We start from the raw sequence: 20,274 nt of genomic DNA, 5'->3' as shown, positions 1-20,274 counted from the left end.
TGTCTTGTGCCTATACATGCCAAGTGCTTATATTGCAAAGTGAATACAGATTCGGCATGGTCATCCCTGTCCTCAGAGGGGAGTAGTAAGTCATGCACAGGCAATTATACTCCAGGGGGACAGAGTGCTCAGTGCAATGAGTCTGTGAAAGAGCAGATTATCGGCAAAGGCTTCCAGGAATCAGAGTACTTACTACGCGCCCAGCACGGTCGTAACTGCAAGAACCACCCACTTAAATCTCATACCACCACCATGAGGTGGTTACTATTATTCCCAACATACCAAAGAGAAAAAGGCAGCATAGCACGGCATGGTTAAGCAACTTGTTCGAGACCATACAGCTATTAAGTGATAGTGTCAGGGTTCGAAACCTGAAGTCCAATTCCAAGCCCACTCCCGCTCTTAATCACCACACTAGTTAGGAGTGTGAGTCAGGTTAAAGGAGGAAAGGAGGAGCCAAGTTCCAAACAAAGAAATCTTCATAAAGAAAAAACTCAAGATTCTTTGAGGAACTGAGACAAATTCGCTTTGACTGGACTTAAGAGTATGAGGGGAAGAGCAAAGAGAAATGAGGCAGGGCCGCCACACGAAAGAGGCTGGACTTGATTTTCAGAGTTACATAATTTACGTCTCAGTCCCTCAATGCCAGAAAGAAGCAAAAGTCTAATGAAAATAACAAAAAAGTCCAACAACATGCAAGAGAATATAGTTGTGAGATAATTAAGAATCATAAAAATGTATTTTAGCTATAAATTCATAACAGTTTTTTAACTACACAACAAGGGAACTTGCCATACTCATAGGACTAAAAATTGGCTGAGGTGTGATGCAGGAATCAAAAGGTCTGCGTCCCCCATCTTGGCCTATCCATATGGGTAACTAGCTCTGTAGCCCTGGTGAGTGAGCCTTTTCCTATTCTATAAAATAAATATAACTGCTTTGGGAAATAAAACTCATGTAAATATCAAGTTTACAGTTAAGTTCCTTTTATCATTTATACTTTGAAATACCAGTCGTTGGCGCAGAGCAGCACGTTTAACCAGTATGCACCTCTCTCCCACCACAATTTTTAGAAAAGAAAACTATGGGAAAAACTGGTTTGTACAACATGTAATTCCCAACTTCAGTATCCTAAGCCTCCAAAATGCATAGCTCATTTCTGCTTTGAAATCCCCACTACATTTCATTGGCTAAACAAATCTTTGTATTTGCCAAGGAAAAGAAATGATTCCATTAAAAAGATCTCTGGTTAACTGCACTCATGGGGGCTGAAAATACTCTGAACTTTCTCAACAACAGCTAAATCCAAGTTCCTCCCCTCCTAGACTTTGGGAGATGGATCAGCTACCTGAAGTCATGGATCCTTCTGTCCCAACTGTAAAATTCAAAAAGTCACAGACTTAGAGATTAAAAAAAAAAAGCTGAGACCCCCAAAAGCAATACAGACTCTGAAGATAATCTCTCCCACTACTGTTTCCTATCCCCACCCCTGCTAAGAAATTACTTCATCCTAGTCAGTTAAAGTGGCAAGTTAAAAATATAGCATCATGAAGAGAGAATCACAAAAAATTCATAAGGACAAAGAAACCCTACATAAAAATTGCAATGCCTTTGACTCTGGTTAATTTGTCACTATTGTCTTTAGAAAACAGGGAACAAAAATCTCACAGAATAAAGAAGTTTGCAAAGGCTGACTGCAGGCACCTTTTCCCAAACCGAGCTGTTTTTTTTAAAAATAAAAACCACTGTGAACTCTCATTACCATATGAGGACAGGCACAATTTATAGTTGAAATAATTATTTTCAAGTCCTGGGTTTGTTCATTTATTTCAGAACTGACATTCACAAAAATGCAAACGGAAGGAATGAGCTTCTGGCAGCTCCTTGAAGCTGTAATAGCATATGACCTGTGCACTAGTAAATCTAGTTTTCTTTTTTTAACTCTGGCCATGAGACACCAAAATAAGTGTTCTTTTATTCATCTGAATCTCCTGTGCAATTAACGTTTTTACTATATGAACTGCATTAGTACACAGGTATTTGGTGACTTGTTTTTATGAAGATAAAACAGCATGAAGCCAGTAGAATATTTATCTTGGACACAGAACTGGATCAGGTCCAGAAAACAAAAGGACAGATAAGCATTTCTCTGGAAGGAGAAATATAAACAGAGTGGTCTTTTCAGCAATGAGTGTGAAGACTGAACTTAACATTTTCATAATTAATCCGGACGAGACTGGTCATAGATAGGGCCATCCCTGTAGATGATGGCACTAATAGTTTTTCACCAGGTAAGTCCCAAGTAAAGAGAATAAACAGTAAGATCTTTCAAGGTTCTAGGAAGAGACAGATGGCAAATGAGTTTCAGTCCAGGCAAAGGTCAGATTGGTTTAGGCAAAAAAGATCTTCAAACTATTCTTATGACAGACCCTAAACTCTAAGTTTTGTTCCACAGAAATAATTTACTAAAGAGAGACGTCAGCTGGGAGGAGCCAACAAAATGCTGAGTAAATCAGATATGACCTCAGAAACAAAATGAAAATTACTTTGCCTTCATATGTAAAACAGTGTATTTTTAATAAAATACCCCATACATTTCTTGGCAGTGAATTTCAAAACTCTAAACTGGAACTGGTATAGAAAATTAAACAATCTATAGAGGAGAATCTCTGAAGTTAAAAAAAAAAAAGAAAGAAAGAAAAAGAAAAAAGAAAGAACCCTGTAACTGGAAAGAAAAAAATGGAGTAAATACAGTTAAGAAGCATGGGTAGGGCTGGGCGCGGGACCTCACGCCTGTAATTCTACCACTTTGAGAGGCCAAGATGGGAGGACTGCTTGAGCACAGGAGTTCAAGACCAGCCTGGTCAATATAGCAAGACCTCATCTCTTATTAAATTTAAAATTAAAGAAAGAACGAATCATGGGTAGGATAAACACATTTATTAAATTCTGAAATAATGGAGATGTTCTTAAAACTTCAAATTTGGAGACAAATTTATGTTTTAAAAAAGAGAGGGGCCAGGCGCGGTGGCTCATGCCTGTAATCCCAGCACCTTGGGAGGCTAAGGTGGGCGGAACTCAAGGTCAAGAGATCGCGACCATCCTGGCCAACAAGATGAAACCCCGTCTCTACTAAAAAATACAAAAATTAGCTGGGCATGGTGGCACGTGCTTGTAGTCCCATCTACTCGGGAGGCTGAGGCAGGAGAATCTCTTGAACCCAGGAGGTGAGGTTGCAATGAACTGAGATCGTGCCACTGCACTCCAGCCTGGCAACAGAGTGAGACTCTGGCTCAAAAAAAAAAAAAAAAAGAGGAACTTTATATACTGGCTAATAAATTCACATATTTTTAAGTACTGGTAGTTGCTGAAAACAATGCAGGTTCAAATAAACGTATTTAAACAAGCTCCTACTAACGTACTGTACTTAGTATTATGCTATACACTACAGGGACATACATACAATGTTGCTGTCAAGGTATAATCTGGTAAAGTATTTGGATAAATAAAAAACAGCTAGTAGAATGTGGTAACTGCCATATAAGAAGAATTAGAGCAGGGATCCCCAACCCCTGGGTCACGGACTGGTACCAGACCATGGCCTGTTAGGAACCGGGCCACAAAGCAGGAGATGAGTGGTGGGCGAGTGAGCATTACTGCCTGAGCTCCACCTTGTCAGATCAGTGGTGGCATTGGATTCTCATAGTAGTGCGAACCCTATTATGAACTGCGCACGCGAGGGAGCTAGGCTGCACACTCCTTATGAGAATCTAATGTCTGATGATCTGTCACTATCTCCCATCAACCCCAGATGGGACCTTCCAGTTGCAGAAAAACAGGCTCAGGGCTCCCACTGATTATGCATTTGGTGAGTTGTATAGTTATTTCATTATTTATTACAATGTTATAATAATAGAAATAAAGTACACAATAAATGTAATGTGCTTGAATCATCCCAAAACCATCCCCCACTCCACTGTCTGTGGAAAAATTGTCTGCCATGAAACTGTTGCCTCATGCCAAAAAGGTTGGGGACCACTGGTTTAAAGGGAGCAGCATGCCCATTTGGGGCAATCAGCAAAGATAATCAGAGGTGGCATCTAAACCGAGTTTGGAAGAAGGAACAGAATTTCTACAGAAGTAATTTTGGAGGACGGAATAGAAAAAGAAAAGTCTTAAAGAGCAAGAGATGAATTTTCTGGGCTCTTTGGCAAATATTGGCTTAATATCTTCTGACAACTACAGCTTCATGAATATCACAACTTAGAGTGTTCAACTACACCTTAAATTCAACATGTACAAAACCAACTTCTCCTTGTAACTTCCCTATTTCCACTAATTATGCTACCCACATTATTCGGGCTCAAAACTTGGAAGTTACTTTATATATCATGATTTTGTCTATTCTTTTTGTTTACAAGTATCTCCCCATCACTTCCACATCCTGTCCAGCTTTCCTCTGAAATGTGACTCATGTACATTCCTCCATCCATACCGGTTAGGTCCCCAAGAAAGAGAAAGCAATGGTAGACATAATAAACCCTTCATTACTTGTAAGTTTTGATGCAAACCTCAGTCTAGGAAGCTGAACTGGTCCAGGCTCTGGAACTGGATGGAACCAGATGGAGAATTCCAGCTGTGAGGACTTTAGGCCACCTAGAGCCTAGAGCAATGCAGTTCAAATGTCCTCGTCCCCTGCCCTGACAAGGCCACACTAATTCACTAATTTGTGTGAAATTTCACTAATCTGATGGTGAACGGACTCCTGAGAAGGCCAAGCAAAAAAGAAAAAAAGATCAAGCCTGCTTGCCTCAGTGCTTCAGGCAGAGTTGGTCTAGATCCACATGCCAAATATTTCTAAGATGAAAAGAAAAGTGGAGTCTTCAGAACAGACAGGTAATAAATGAGATTTACAATACTTTGGAATTTGAATTAAAGAAGAGAGACCCAATTATTTTCTCCTTGAAGGTAACTTGCCCCTCTCCAACTAAAAACATCTCTGAGGTAAACCTCTGCAGGGAAAATGATGAGTTGGAGGCCCTGTGCCTTGTACAGAATGGTTTCTAAAATAAATGGAGAGCAGAGCACAGGTCTAAAACACTATGGCAATGCTTTCACCCCAGGGAAGTTACCTACTGTGGTCTGGTGATTGGACCACAACAATTCTCACCATCAATTGCTAATCTTGACATAATTCTGAAAGGAACTCTCCTCTTAAATAGCATTAAGCATGCTAGCTTAGCATGCTAGCAGGTCACGGCAAGCTCAAGACAACTCACTCTGCTACTGCTGTGTTAAACACAATATTGACTTTAACAGTCCAAGCTGTAAAACTCAATACTCTGCTGGAGTAAACTAAAGAGCAGCATGGCACAGTAATCAGCTATAAGATCAAAGTCCAATACAAACTGGATTTGAAGAATGAAGACAAAATGATGAACAAATTAAAGTGTGGATTTGCACCTACTGGAACTAGACTGCTTTTTAACAGCTTTAGTTGGAGCAAGCAGAGGTTGTGCGCTTCCCTTGGCACATTATCTAAACTAGCACCCACCCCCTACATACAATTACAGGCAGTATTTAGCACTCTGTAGATAAGATTACTGGACAATTGGGAGCTTCCCCACCCCCAGTTTCTGATACAAATGTCTCTCCCTCTCCCTCCCTTTTTCCAACCCTCTCCCTTTTCTGTTTGTAAAAATACAACAATCGTGAGAACTGAATTAGTAAGAGCCTTCAAACACAAACTCCTTTCCTCGCAATAAGTCTGGAATTTTAGGATTAGCTGCCATAACTGACTCCTCATAAATGTTTGTGAAATGAATCAAAAGAGGCAAGAGAACTGTCAAGAAACTAATTTGAGGAAAAAAAAAAAACAAAAAGGAAGCTCCTGATATTAAAAGATACAAAAAGAGATAGTTATGTATCTGGTAGGTTTACCAAGTACAGATTTTGCCATAGGCTGGAGGGAAAGCTTAAAGGCTGGGAGCATGAAGCTGTCAGCTTGTAAGAGTTTTGTTTTTTCCCTTTGAAGATAAGAGAGGTCTGGGATAGGGGAAAGAAAGGGAAGACTGGGGAATACACGTATGTTTTACTTGCTGATATCATATATCATATACACTAAAACTGCACTAACTTGCATCCCAGCACCAAAATTTAAGTTAGGGTCCCTGTGTTTAGCAAGCTGCTCCACCAATCCACTACTTAAAACCTCAGTGGCTCCACATTGCCTTCAGAGCAGGAACTCCACCTTTTGGTAAAGACAAGCTACTTGCCATTTCCCTACAACCTTGAGATCAGTAGAGATGCATTTAATACAGGGAAAGAGCTGGAGGGAAAGACATAATATTTAAGTCTCTGAGAGTTATAAGAGTCACTACATATTGAATGTCTAATAGTTGTCAAACACTGTGTAGTAGGATTGATAGGTATTATCTCTAGTCTTCAGACAAACTTGCAAGAAAGGCAACTTTACACCTGTTTTACAGATTAAAAAAAAGAAAAAAAAACTCATTTAGAGAGAATAATGTGCCCCACATTGTAAGTGGGAGAGTCAGGTTTGAATTCAAAAATGTAAATCCAGGCTGGGCCCAGTGGCTCCCGCCTGTAATCCCAGCACCTTGCGGAGGCCAAGACAGGCGGATCACTTGAAGCCAGGAGTTCGAGACCAGCCTGGCCAACATGCTGAAACCCCGTCTCTACCAAAAAAATACAAAAATTAGCCAAGCATGGTGGCATGCGCCTGTAGTCCCAGCTACTCAGGAGGCTGAAGCAGGAGAATCACCTGAACCTGGGAGGCGGGGGTTGCTGTGAGCCAAGATCGCGCCACTGCACTCCAGCCTGGGCGACAGAGTGAGACTCTGTCTCAAAACAAAAACAAACAAAAAATGTAAATCTGTAACAAAGGCCCTACTCTAATAAGACTCAAAGTATAGACTGGGGTCCCTCCCCATCTACACTTTGGGGTTACCTAAATTTAAAATTTAAAATTAATAATGCTTGCAACAACTTGCACAATTCGGTCCAAATGTATCTTGCCTCACAAGAACACTCTGATTTCACAGAGACCGGTCCACCCATTTTTAACTCAGGAACACCTCTAAGGTAAAAAGTTTTTCACCTCTATGAATTCTACCTATTAGCTCTTATCTCCTCCATAAAGCCTCCCTAACTAGCCCAGATTAAAGAGCCCTCCCTCACTCCTTCCTTTCATCTTAATAGGACTTTAGAGACTTGGTCCTGAACTACTGTTTTGTATTATTAATTAGTTTTTCACACATCATATATAATTGCACAATTAACAGTAAGCTCCCTAGAAATAGTACTTAGACTTCATACTTTCTTTTTTCTTTTTTTTTTTTTTTTGAGAAGGACTCTCCCTCTGTTGCTGAGACTGGAGTGCGGTGGCGCGATCTCAGCTCACTGCAACCTCCGCCTCTGGGGTTCGAGCGATTCTCCTGCCTCAGCCTCCTGAGTAGCTGGGACTACAGGTGCACGCCACCACACCCGGCTAATTTTTTTGTGTTTTTAGTAGAGACAGGGTTTCACCATGTTGGTCAGGCTGTTCTTGAACTCCTGACCTCAAATGATCTGCCTGCCTCAGCCTCCCAGAGTGCTGGGATTATAGGCGTGAGCCACCGCACTCAGCTACACTTCATACTTTCTTATAAACCTCACAAAATCTACCACTGAATCTCAGTCTTAAGTACTTCAAATATTCATCTGCAGAGAGAGAATACAGATCATATATTAATAAGAGCTGACTGACTTCAGTTTGAATTCCCAGGGTCACTAGTAAACCACTCAATTTCAGGCAAGCCTCAAGTGTTCATCCATAAATTATGGTAAATTTATAATCTATAAATTGGCTAATAAAAATATCTATCATCAAAGGATAACTATGAGACATGCGTGAAATGATTTAAGTAAAAAGCTCTTGGTATAGGGGCTAGCAAATGGTAAAGAATACTATTATTTTTTAAATGTTAGAATGGGCTCCCTTAAAATTCTTGAGAAATAGCTATTCTAAAAGCATTCTAAAAGATTTCTAAAAGATTTCAGGGAAGTCATTTATGTACATATTCTACAATTATGTCTTCACTAATTAACAAGGTTTACAACATCTTTATAATCATAAATAAGTGGCTATTTGTATTATAATAGAATTTTATAGTTTTCCTTTTTTTTTTTCTGAGACAGGGTCTCCCTCTGTCACCCAGGCTAGAGTACAGTGGTGCGATCATGGCTCACTAAAGCCTCAACCTCTTGGGTTCAAGCGATTCCACCACCTCAGACCCACAAGTAGCTATAACCACAGGCATGTGCCTAGCTAGTTTTTTTTTTATTTTTTATTTTGTAGAGATGGGGTCTCCTTTTGTTGACAGGCTGGTCTCAAACTCCTGGACTCAAGAGATCCTTCCACCTCAGTCTCCCAAAGTACTGGGATTACAAACATGAGCCACCGTGCCTGGCCTCTAATTTTTATTTTTTGCCCACACATTTTATAGGATATTTATGGTCAGGCAAGGTGGCTTATGCTTGTAATCCCAGCACTTTGGGAGGCTCAGGGTGGGGGAATCACTTGAGCCCTGGAGTTCAAGACTACGCTGGGCAACACAGTGAGACCACCCCCGCTCCCGTCTCTACAAAAAAAAAAAAAAAAGGTGGGTATGGTGGTGCATGCCTGTCTGTGGTCCTAGCTACTTGGGAGGCTGAGGTGGGAGGGTCACTTAAGCCCGGGAGGTTGAGGCTACAGTGAACTGTGATTGTACCACTGCTTCCAGCCTGGGTGACAGAGTGAGACTCTATCTCAAAAAAAAAAAAAAAAACCACGACCAACAAAGGATATTTACCCACAATCTCATCACCCCATAATGTCAACTGTTCTTTATTATTTTTCTGTTTTTCTTTCTAGTTCTTGGTCATACATTTGCATATTTTACTAATATATTCATCTTGTAGATACCAACTGTTGCTGGTTGTTTTCATTTAACATAAACATTTTATATTAACACTGTCTTCATAATCATTTAACTATTATATTACTATCCTACAAAGCTGACATAACAATTTAGATACTTCCCTGCTGCTGGACAATTGTTAAGATCCTTTTATTTAACATTATAATGATAATATATAAAGAACATCTTTGTGCACAAACATTTGTTTTTTTAAACATTTTCATGCACAAAAGTTTTTTCTCTTAAGTTACTGAGTCAAAAAAGTATGAGCATTTTTAAGTCTGGAAAGCACAGCCAAATTGAGCTGTAAAAGAGTTTAACAATCTGCACACATGTTGAACTAGACAAGTGATCAACAACTACTAAGAATGAGCTAGGGTCCAAGTTTCCCCACCACCCTACCACTGCTATTTCTTCAGGGTACTTTAAATCATCTCCACTAAACAGCCGCTATCATATGCTGTTAGTAGGCGTATAAACAGGTGCAACCTCTCTGGAGTGCGGTTTGGCAGAAATTCCAACCTGGGTTCTCATCCTGGAAATATACTTGAGCTTATGGCATAAGAATCTTTCAACCAGGAAGTTCACCATTTCTAACAATAAAGCCTGAAAGTAAATACTCCATCAGTAGAGGACTGGTAAAATTACAGTAGTGCCCTCTTATCCACAGGCGATACCTTTCAAGACTTCCAGTGGATGCCTGAAACAGTGCTTAATGCCAAACCCTGTATATACTATGTTTTTTCCCATACATACCTATGATAAAGTTTAATTTATAAATTAGGCACAGTAAGAGATTAACAACAATAACTAATAATAAAAATAGAACAATTATAATATACTATAATCATAGTTATGCGAACGTGATCTCTTTCTCAGGAAATATCTCATCATACTATAGTCACCCTCCTTCTCCTTGAGATGATGTGAGATGACAAATGCCTATATGATAAGATGAAGTGACAGTGGAGATTCCATTGTGCTACTCAGAATGGTGTGCAATTCAAAACTTAGGAATTGTTTATTTCTGGAATCTTCTTTCTTCTTTTTTAAATGGTACTGCTCCTTGCAGAGCAGAGCTAACTCACAGGCAGTGCACCCAGAGTTGCTCCATTTCTTGAATTTTTGATTTAATATTGTCAGACTGAGGTTGACAGCAGAAAGTGAAACCTCAGATAAGGGAAGACTATTGTAGTGTGCTTGGCTGCATATGCAAATTACCCAAGGAGAGTTTCATGAAGACAAACATAAAGCCCCAGCCCAGATCTATTAAATCAAGATCTCTGAGAAGCAGTCTGGACATTTAAAGCTCTCTAGGTGACTTTAGTGTCTGACCAGACTTGAGAACTACTGGGTTAAGTGTTATACATGAATTTATTCAAAGGAATACAAAGCAACTTTTAGCAAAATGATGAACAGTGTAGGCAGCAACTACCACTCTGTCTGAGGGAAAGAATTTTTTTTCCTGTATTTGCATAGAGTATTTCCAAAAGGATACGAAAGAAACTGGTACAGCAATGGTAGCCTTTGGGAAGGGGGATTGGGGTGTGAAAAGGCTTACATTTCAACATATTTTATATGAACTTTTAACCAGATATGTTTGAAAAAATCTTAAAATAAAATCATAATTTCATGTATAAGCAATTTCTCAGGTACACATGGCACTAAGCAATATATGGCAACCCCACTGCAGGGCCAGTTACCAGCGTCCACATGGTCTTCCGTGGAGCCTGTGCACTCAGCACCAAGTGGCTACCAGGGGTCCATCTCTGCCCTCTGGGTAGGGCAGGGCCAGTAGTTCCGGCCGCCCCCTTCTGCCCTAGCAACTAACTTACTCAATGTACCATTCTAAAGCAAACAGTCATTGCCTGATATGCTTGGAGAAAATGTTTACTCATGGCTCACCTCCTCACACAGGGTAGGCCACCATTAATGATATGTTAGTCTGGCACATTCTTTTTAAAGAACATGTCAGATTCGCAAATCCATTTCTAAATTAGTTTCTCAAATGGAAAAATCATACATGGAAAGCAGAGATGATTCCATCTTTTTTCTAAAGTGCTTACTTCATTTAACATGCAAATATAGTCTTCGCAGGGTTCAGAATATCAATATTGTTTTCACAATTAAGTGTACTATTATCTTAAATTTGAGAGAACCAATTTGCTCATTTCATTCCATAATGTATTTCAGTTTTACCAAGCCATACAAGAATTCAAATGAATCTGAAAAGTATATAGAGAAGAGTTCTACATCATCAACCCACAGCTAACAATTTCATAGCTTCATAAATATTTAAATCATTTTTCAGTAGGTCATTTCTGACAGCTGTGGGATTTCATAACTGGATCTCTGATATATTACTTAGGCAAGTGTCTTCTTAAAGGTTTTTTTAGGGAGGTGGGGGTGCAGGTCAATCAACTGTTAGAGCACTTTTACCCTATCATTTTGATACCAGGAAAATAATTCACTAATATTGACAAAAAGGAGGAAATTTCTTTGAGTTGTCTGTAACAAGATTCATTTTCTAAAATGTCACAACGCATGCTAGAAACATCAAGAAATATTTCAAGAGATCAGATTCTGGAATACTAGAGACTCTTTAAGGATCATCAGTGTTCAAAACTCTTGAATTCATTCATTCATTCAACAGGTATTTATTAAACGCCAACTTCCTGCCAAGCACTGCATTAAAAGCAGAGACACAATGGCAAGGCTAGGATTTAGACGAACTCTCACAGCCATGCTGTAACTATCACATGTACGTTTTCTTGTTTCATTTACAGTTATTTCAAATGTATGCTTTAAAAGACTTTGTGGCATTGAATTTAAAAGGTATTTTTGTAACTATCTTTAAATCATATTTTATAAAAGAACTTGAGTAAATGAGGATAGCTAATGAAGAAATGAATGATAACATACTTTTCCCCCCATAACCCCAAAGGTTTTGACTATAAGACAAAAAATGTCCAATTTTCCAGGCATATCAGAGAGAGAGTTGGCAGTCTGAAGTATTTATAAGGTGTTAAAGCCAGAATCAATTGAACTGGTGAATTTGCTGCTGCTTCCTAACACATCCTAAATCAACACCTGTTTCATCTCTTGAGGAATGTGCAGGTTAACGTCTAACTTGTCTTCAACTTGTGAAGAAAGAGTTGCTATGACAACATGCAACTATCCTTACTGGGAATCAGGCTGAGGTCCCCACCAGATATGTAGGTTCTTAATTAGCCCCCCTCAGCTTTTGGGATGAATTCCTACTGCCTCAGTGTTCATTCTCACTTAGACACCCTGCATGAATTGGTTGTCATTTTCAATTAGACATCAGCACATAACCAAACACCAATCATTTATTTAAAGATATATATCAAATACAGAAATCTCTTATTTATGATTAAAAAGTCTTAGGTGTGGTAATAAAATCATCTTCATAAACCAATATATAAATCTCTTATAGCACTATGATGGACACAAATTCTAAAGTATAATCTACAAATTAAACAAGTTTACAGGGACAAATAACTAGAAAAATAATTCCTAGAAATGAAGGCACACAGTTCAGGAGACAGAAATATGATAATCGGGGATCCAAACTCATGCTAATACTAAAATCTTATATAACAGAAAGAGTACTCTGCTATACAACATTTATCCACAACATTATAGTATTAATGGCTACATTTTATTGCACTTAATATATTGTATTATTCTGGCACAAACAGAAAGTGCAATAAGGAAAAAAAAATATGTAGCATGATGCATGAGAAGGCACATTGTCCTTTTCAGAAGTCCATTATAAAGGCAGCTGGACAGATTCTGGCTGAACACAAGTGGGGTGCCAGCCCATCTCCTTCCATCCCCATCCCACCCTCCCATTCAAGCACTGGTTACAAAAGTGTCTGTGTGGCCATGAGTAGTGAGTCATGGATGTTCCATTTACAGATGGGGTGGGGTTGAGGGAAATCACTGTTACATGCCCAGTTAGCTGGAAAAGTCCATCCTGTTTTTCCTTTTTTTACATAATAATCATTTTTCATAAATCTGAGATAAAGAATGCTTGGTAAGTAGGAACTCACCAAATATTTCAGCACTCTTACATCCAAAGGAAAGACTTACTTTTACAGCCAAGTATATGATCTCATAGTCCAGGCCTAACAATTCACACTAAGCAAGGGGCTTGTACAATCAGTACAAAACATTTGTTCCTTTTCACCCACACCAAGAAAAACAGTGGCTGGAGAAATAAAGCACATTACCAGTTCCCAAATCAGATTCACACACCAGGAGTTCATGCTGGCAGCCAAAGTATTTCATGACGGCAAGGACAATCTTTTACAGCTTCCTTTTCCAAGGAAACACAACGGCAAAGTAGCTTCCTTAGGCTGACCTTACAGGCAAACCACGAGAAACACAACCTAAAGCAACAACAAAAACCAATGCTCTTTTTGGAGCTATATACTCCATGCATTAAAAGACCACATGCCTCCGTCCATCTCTTAGTACCACCTACTAAATCAAATAATAATGCATAATACAACAAATTCAAATTTCAGGACTTAAAATTATAACTACATGTTTTAGCTTTTAAAACATCTAATCCAGGCCTCTTATCCACATTCCCTCAAAATCCAAAGGGCTGTGTCAGTCTTTTCTAAACATATTTCAAATAAAGCTTGAGCTGCATGCAGCTCCTAACTGTACTCTGAGCCCCCAGGAAGACTACACTGGGCTCTGAAGCTCAGGTGAAGTAGCGACCCTGTCAAACTAGTAAACATTTTGCACATACATATCTCCTATCATTATTGACACTGCCAATTAACTTAGCCTCTGAGGTTTATAATGAGTTTAGATTTTAAATACATTAAACCTCATAACAAACATATTACTTTTAATAATAGGAGCTAACAGTTATTTTGATGAAGAAGAAAGATTCTATGAAATTTATTCAAATCAGATTTCTCCATAAACATTATCCTTACTCTATTCCCTCACAGTGTAGAATATGCTAAATGCTATTTAAGTTATCTTAAATAGTTAAATAATCTAATAGTTAAATAATCTAGAATATTTAGGTTTAAAATAATCCAAATCACAAAAGTAACACAAATTCATTAGAGCAAAATCCAAAAATACCAACAAGAATAAAACACAAAAAATTAAAATAAAATTTTCACCTACCTCTTGGCAACCACTGTTATAATATGTTGGTGTAGAGTGTTGCTGGCCTATTCTGCACATGCATAATCGCTCCTATTTTTAAATGTTTTTCACATAAATTTATAACTTGCTTTTACTTTTTAAAATTTATATAAATTTATGGGGTATAAGTGTAATTTTGTTACATGCATAGATTGCACAGTGGTGAAGTCAGGCTATTAGAGTTGCTTTTACTTCTTCTATTGAGAACATTTTTCTTTTGTTTTGTGTGTCTGTGTATAAAATTATGATTTGGATGCTATAGAATGTCATCCATTGTGTGACTATATCATTTTGCTTAACCAATTTCCTTTTTTGGCTAAATGCAATTTTATTCTTAATAATAAAAACTTGCAAATAACTTTGAAAAAACAAACACACCATATTTCTAAGAATCTTTCTGACACCCCGTCACCTCTACCAGGTTTGAGTGAGTGTCCGCTGAACATCTTTAAGACCCCTCTGAAAACTTAAGGTCTCTGTTTCATGAATGACTACATCAAGGTTAAAAAACTAATATGCAAGTGAAAACAGTTCAATTCAGCACTGTCTCAACTCTCATCTACAGAAAGAAAACAGCCTCTGAAAAATGGTTCCATTTTCGTAAAGCCTCAACAGGAATAATACTGAACTCCATGACCTAAAAAAAGATGCTTAGTAATACTTAAAATCAGTTTGTATTGCATGTTATTCTTTTCAAAAGATTTTCAAGCTCATTACTTCCTTACCACAACTTTGTTACATAGGTCTGATGCTGTCACTTTACAAATGACAAAGCTGAGGATCAGAGAAATGGAGTCTTGTTGGGTCTCCCATCAACATGGTACATGAGGCAGGGCTAAATCAATGGCTTCCTCAATCTGTGTTCCAAGTGCTCTTAATAGAACTCACTGCATTCAAAGGAAGGGTTCCCTTCTTCACCTCTGAAAAAATCACTAACCAGTGCATAGTATCTTTCAGGACAAGGAGATATGATGTAAGGAGTGTGCCAATAGATCCAAGGCAGCAAGCAAGAAAAATCTACAGAAAGACTTTCTTTTAGAAAGTAGTCAAAAGAAATCAAAACTGCTATTTATATGTCATGTTTTATATTATTGGCATTAAAAATGTTGAGTGTACTAGAACAAAACTGTTTTTTTCCAAAATATTATCCACCCTACCTCAGAACAAATCTCATTAGAAATACTTGCATCTGGAGACTTATTAGTGGGAGCGGAGGAAGCACTTCTGTGTAATTTCCCTCCATGTGAGGGAAGAGTAAATCACAATCCGGCCCTTAGTCACTCCAAGCACAAGAACAGCAAGTAAGTTCTTAATTCTGTGCTTATATAAAAATCTACTCTTTATCAGTGTTTATCTGTTTGTTATAGTTTCCAATGTGTTGTCTGCTCTTTATTCATCTTAGTGTATAATCTGTTGTCCTTTAGATTGTAAACTCCAGTAGGTGAGACCGTGGGTGTCCTGCCTGGATTTATACAGGTAGAGCGCCAAGCCACAAGCACAGAGGCATCAGATGCTATGTGATAAGTGGATTAAATTATACTTATACTAACTCTATAACAGATTAAATTTGTTCTAACAAAACAGTGGGGATCAGCACTTACTAGGCCATTTGGCCTTAGGTATACTCTTCTCTGGCATTCACACAGCTAGCTAACAAGCAGCTGCAATGCCTTCACTTGTTCTTCATATCCCAGATAATATATATGCTTCCCTACTTCATTTAACTGCTCCAAAATAAAAGAACATCTGGTAGCCCAAGGTCTTTTCACCTCCCTGCTAAATACACATTTTAGGGGTTTGAAACTGCTCCATTAATTTACAAAAGACATGGAGAAAAAAACAACAACAACAAGAACAACCTTAAGATAATGCTTCAAACGTGAACCACACATGTAAGTCACTGGACATAGCGTGGCTTGAAAACATCCTGGCCTTAAATCCAAGGTAACCAAGAACATAATTCTATTTCTGACTTGAGTCACTGTACACATCATTTTTTTTGTCCTAATTTATTTTTCTGGTACGAAGCATTATTCAAATGTAAATGCCATAATCATATAGCATTCCTGACTACTTCTCCCAAACATGTAAGTTTGGTCAATCGTGATTCCTTTTGTTTTCCTAGCAACCTGTTTCCTCAAAGCTATGAAAAGGGCTTTCTGTCAAGATCCTAAAGGAAATACTCCAGAAGAAATCTTGACTATGATGATCCTGTTTTTAGATGAAATGCCAGGAAACATGAAGTCCTGAAAATGACCTGTGAGATAAACTAGTTATATTGGACAACAGATTTCCTCTCTAATCAAGTGTGTAAAAACTGGAGGAATGAGAACAGTCATAAGCCCAGCGAAGGGACTAGGAAGTGCACAAGAGTAAAAAGACTAACAACAAGGGCAAAACAATTCTGAGAAGAGAAGTTTAAAATAACCAGTGAAAGTCCATCATGGAAACAGAAGATATACAAACTCTAAAACAAACAAACAAAAAGTTGGATCTTAGATTCTCCCCCATATACACTACAAAACTGCCCCAAAAGTCTACCTGAATCCTCAGTGAATTTTCAATCTCCAGATAAACAAGTTACATCCTGTACTTAAATGCACTAAAGAATACAAATTCATGTTAGGAATACTCGATTTTTAATCTAAGGGTTTTAGCTTCACTTCTAAAACTCTATTTAACTACAAGGTAGTTCCCAAGGGCAGCTAATGCCCTGCAATAAGGCACCTTGTTCCCCTCAAAGTACATACCAACTCCTATTTGGCAAAATCTGGGTAAAATGAAACACAGGTTCACAATTTTTTAGGTAGAGAGAAAAATTTTCCTGGAAGCTTTTCCCAGGCCAGCTACACAGCATCTTAGAATTAAGCCAGGTGAAAAGAGCAAAAGGAAAGACTTGCTTGGGGTCTCCTTTGTCAGTCTGGTGAGCACAGGATGGTTTGTTCCCATCGTCCAGCATCCTTGCTCACATCTGCTACTTTACTTTCTTTTCCATGGTGACCTCTATCAGGGACACTATTGAAGGGGGCCCTCATCAAGTAGGATGTTCAACTGGGATCCCCAAATTCTCCAAAAACATCGATCTCAAATTCTTGTAGAAAATCCCAATGAGGTCAAAAAAAAGACCGTACTTGGCACGATTTTCTGTTCTTCATTATACACAAATGAGAAGTCAGAACACTACTGAAAATGTTCCCATGAAGTGGGAATCAATTTCCCTAATATGGCCCAAAACCCTAAATATAGCCATATTTTTTTTGTTCAAATACACTCAGTTAAACTTGTGGATAGCGGAAATGGTGGTAGGCAATTAGGCAAGGAGCACAGAAAACAATGACAAGTAACCGCCACTATCTCCTCCTGCATTCAAATGGCTTTAAATGTCCTTGGCAAGAGCTGTCAAAGTACAGACACCTGTAACATGCTCCTTCCGCTCCAGGCTTTGTACCCCTGATGGAGTCTGGGTTACAGGGAGGGAAGGGACGAAATTACACACCTTAGGTCCGAAGTAATTCTACCATTCTGAGAAGGTACATGGCATCACTAATACTCAGCCTAACAAAAGGCATAGAATTCCCACTCAAATTATAAGGCTTGTTAGCCTAAAGAAAACATGAGAATTTAACTTGGGGAGTTTAAGGTCCTCACAATATGCCTTCCATGAGCGCGCGTGCACACACACACACACGTTTAATTTTCACATGACCACAGTGAGAGACTGTTTTAAATGATGGAATTCAAGAAAAGCAAAATCTAGAACATAAAACTTAATCCAGAATTTATTTCAAAGTTTCACTTGAAACTTTTAAAGGTTTATTATACTGGGTCTAGATCTGTTTAACAGTGAACTGTTTTTGCAAGACATTTTGGCCAAAAAGCACCTAGCATAGTGTCAGAATTGGGAGTTGGTGCTCAATTTTAAAATGTGTTGAAAAATTGTTAAATAAACTTCTCAACATACCTGTGCTCAAAGGCAATATAGGACATTTTAAGGCGTCTTTTAAAAGTTAGCCCTTGAAATCAGAATAGCATAGGGATTTTAAAGACTGGAATCTGTGGTCAAACTGCTTGGGTCAAAACACAGGCTCTACCACTGACAGCTGGATTTTGGGCAAGCCGCCTAAGTTATCTGTGACTTTAAGTTTCCTCACCTGTAAAATGGGAATTATAATAGCACCCACCTCACCGCATTGTCAGAAAAGTAAACGACAGAAATCAACATAAAGCATTTTAGGTAGTAAGCTCTCCATAAATGCTATCAATATTCAAAGGTATGTGTTCGAGAGATCAAATCTATTAAATATACATATCAGCTTTGATCAATTGAAATCTCGGAAATTTCATAATTGCATCTTACTCCCCCTTTCCACACATCATGCGGCATCAACCTTCCACATGATGTGGAAATTACATACTTTCATTCATCCGTTTGAGAGCTTGTCATATATGGCAAGAAAGAAGAAAGATGCCTTTTTCGTGACTGTTGCTCCTTCAGAACTTCAAAACACTGTCACGTACACAATAGGTTGGAGCTGCCCTCAAAATGACAGCTCACAGCTTTGCTGGGCCCGCAGAGGTGCCCAGGCGGCTCTGCCCGGAAGGGGTTCACCCCAATAACCGGAGAATCTCCGGTCGCCACAGCCAAGCACAGCGCACGCCCGGGAACCCCAAGGAACACAAGAGAACTCTGAAATGGGGAAGGACCCTGAGTTGTGGAGAAAGAGCGGGAGGAAGGGTCACGGAGGGTCCGGAGCCACACTCGGATCAGGCGCGTCCACGCTGACAAGCCCGGGACCAGGTGCCGGCGATAGGCAGCGCCGTCCTGGACAGTCCCTTCCCTTTCCCCTACCCGTCCCCTCCCCGGCGAGCACCGAAGCCAACTCGGGTCCCGCGCCAGAATTGCCCCCCGGCGCCCCCTCACCTAAAGGCGGGTCCTTCCTTAGGAGCCCTGCCCTGGGCAGACGCCGCCGCGGAGCTGCCGCTGCTGCCCCTTTTGTTGAAGAGCTTCTGGAGCAGGGTCGGGGCCATGATGCCGCCGCCGCAGCTCCGGCCGTGGCGCTCGGGGGGCCGGCGGCTCAGCGCGCAGCCGGGGGCGGCGGCCGCGGTGGCGGGGCCATCGCGGCGGCGCGGCCGCCCAGCCTTGCGGGAGCGCGGGGCCGCTGCGACTGAGTAACTCTGCTCGGCGCCGGAGCCGCCGGCTGCCGGTCATATGACTGAGCCGGCCCGCCACCGCCTCGCGCGCTGACAGTTATCTCCTGCGGGAGGAGCCCGCAGCCCCACGGCGGCGGCGGCGGCGCGGGAGGAGCGCGGCGGCCCCGGCGGCGGCCATTGGCCCGGCGGCCGCCCGCCCCGGGCTCACGTAACCCCGGCGGGAGGCGGGAGGTGGGAGGTGCGGCCAGGAGCGGGCGGGCGGCCCAGTACTCCGGGCACGCGGGGGACGCGGACGGGGGCAGGCGCGGCACTTAAAGGGGCCCGAGGGGCGAGGGCGGCCGCCGGGGCGCAGCTCCGCGAGTGGCGTGGGGTTCCCACGGAGCCTGGGTTCTTTCGCACAGCGAGCATGCAGCTAGGCCGATCTTTGTTCTTTAGAGACAAAGCCCCTGAACTTGGGTCCTCGCTTTGTTCAGGTACAAGAGCCCGTTCACAGAAGGCGTATGCTAGGGGGGAAGGCTTGGTACGCGCGGTGGCCGCTTCGGTGGGCTGTGATTTGAATCACATAGCACCCAAGGTTTTGTCAGGTTTCCTCCATGTCCAAATTCGATTCCTCCAGGCTTTCACAAAATTTAAACTGTTTATCCAAATCATTTGTTCTGTTTGGCGTCTTGGGCCACCATACCATGGTTATATAAGAAGTTGCATTTGAAATATTAAGTCCCCCCTTTAAAACATACACACACACACACACACACACACACACACACACACACAGAACTCACTACATAGATTTAGAAACTTAAGATATTTTATAGCAAGGGATTGTTTTTCCTAATACATATTTAACAGTCAATCAAGGCATATCAGCAGCAGATATTTGGTTTGAGGAAGGGAGGAGTTCATGTGTTTGAGTCCGCTTTCCTGCCCTGTCCCACCCCAGTCCCCTTTGGAATTTAATCCTTGG

General features: G+C 40.4%; 1 protein-coding gene across 4 annotated transcripts in view, besides 2 other annotated features; it reads right to left on the bottom strand.

Moving 5' to 3' along the window:
* Nucleotides 1-19,374, bottom strand: part of FNIP2 (folliculin interacting protein 2) — a 139,025-nt gene extending 119,651 nt beyond the window's left edge. For all 4 annotated transcript variants that reach the window (XM_005263158.3, NM_020840.3, NM_001346043.2 and 1 more), the window contains exon 1: nucleotides 19,081-19,374. In XM_005263158.3, the coding sequence (XP_005263215.1) occupies nucleotides 19,081-19,187 (107 nt within the window). In that variant the 5' untranslated portion in view covers nucleotides 19,188-19,374. The remainder of the gene's footprint in view (nucleotides 1-19,080) is intronic.
* Nucleotides 18,729-19,466: an enhancer, noted in NCBI's record as "H3K27ac hESC enhancer chr4:159690086-159690823 (GRCh37/hg19 assembly coordinates)". NCBI's record gives its function as "activates a minimal SCP1, AML or CMV promoter by ChIP-STARR-seq in naive H9 embryonic stem cells {active_cell/tissue: H9 hESC(naive)}" and the evidence as "EXISTENCE:reporter gene assay evidence [ECO:0000049][PMID:30033119]".
* Nucleotides 19,424-19,633: a silencer, noted in NCBI's record as "silent region_15773". NCBI's record gives its function as "represses an Ori minimal core promoter by ATAC-STARR-seq in GM12878 lymphoblastoid cells {active_cell/tissue: GM12878}" and the evidence as "EXISTENCE:reporter gene assay evidence [ECO:0000049][PMID:35858748]".

This window comes from Homo sapiens, chromosome 4, assembly GCF_000001405.40.
Source record: "Homo sapiens chromosome 4, GRCh38.p14 Primary Assembly".
Classification (NCBI taxonomy): Eukaryota; Metazoa; Chordata; class Mammalia; order Primates; family Hominidae; genus Homo; species Homo sapiens.
This window is presented reverse-complemented; position numbering and strand designations above follow the sequence as displayed.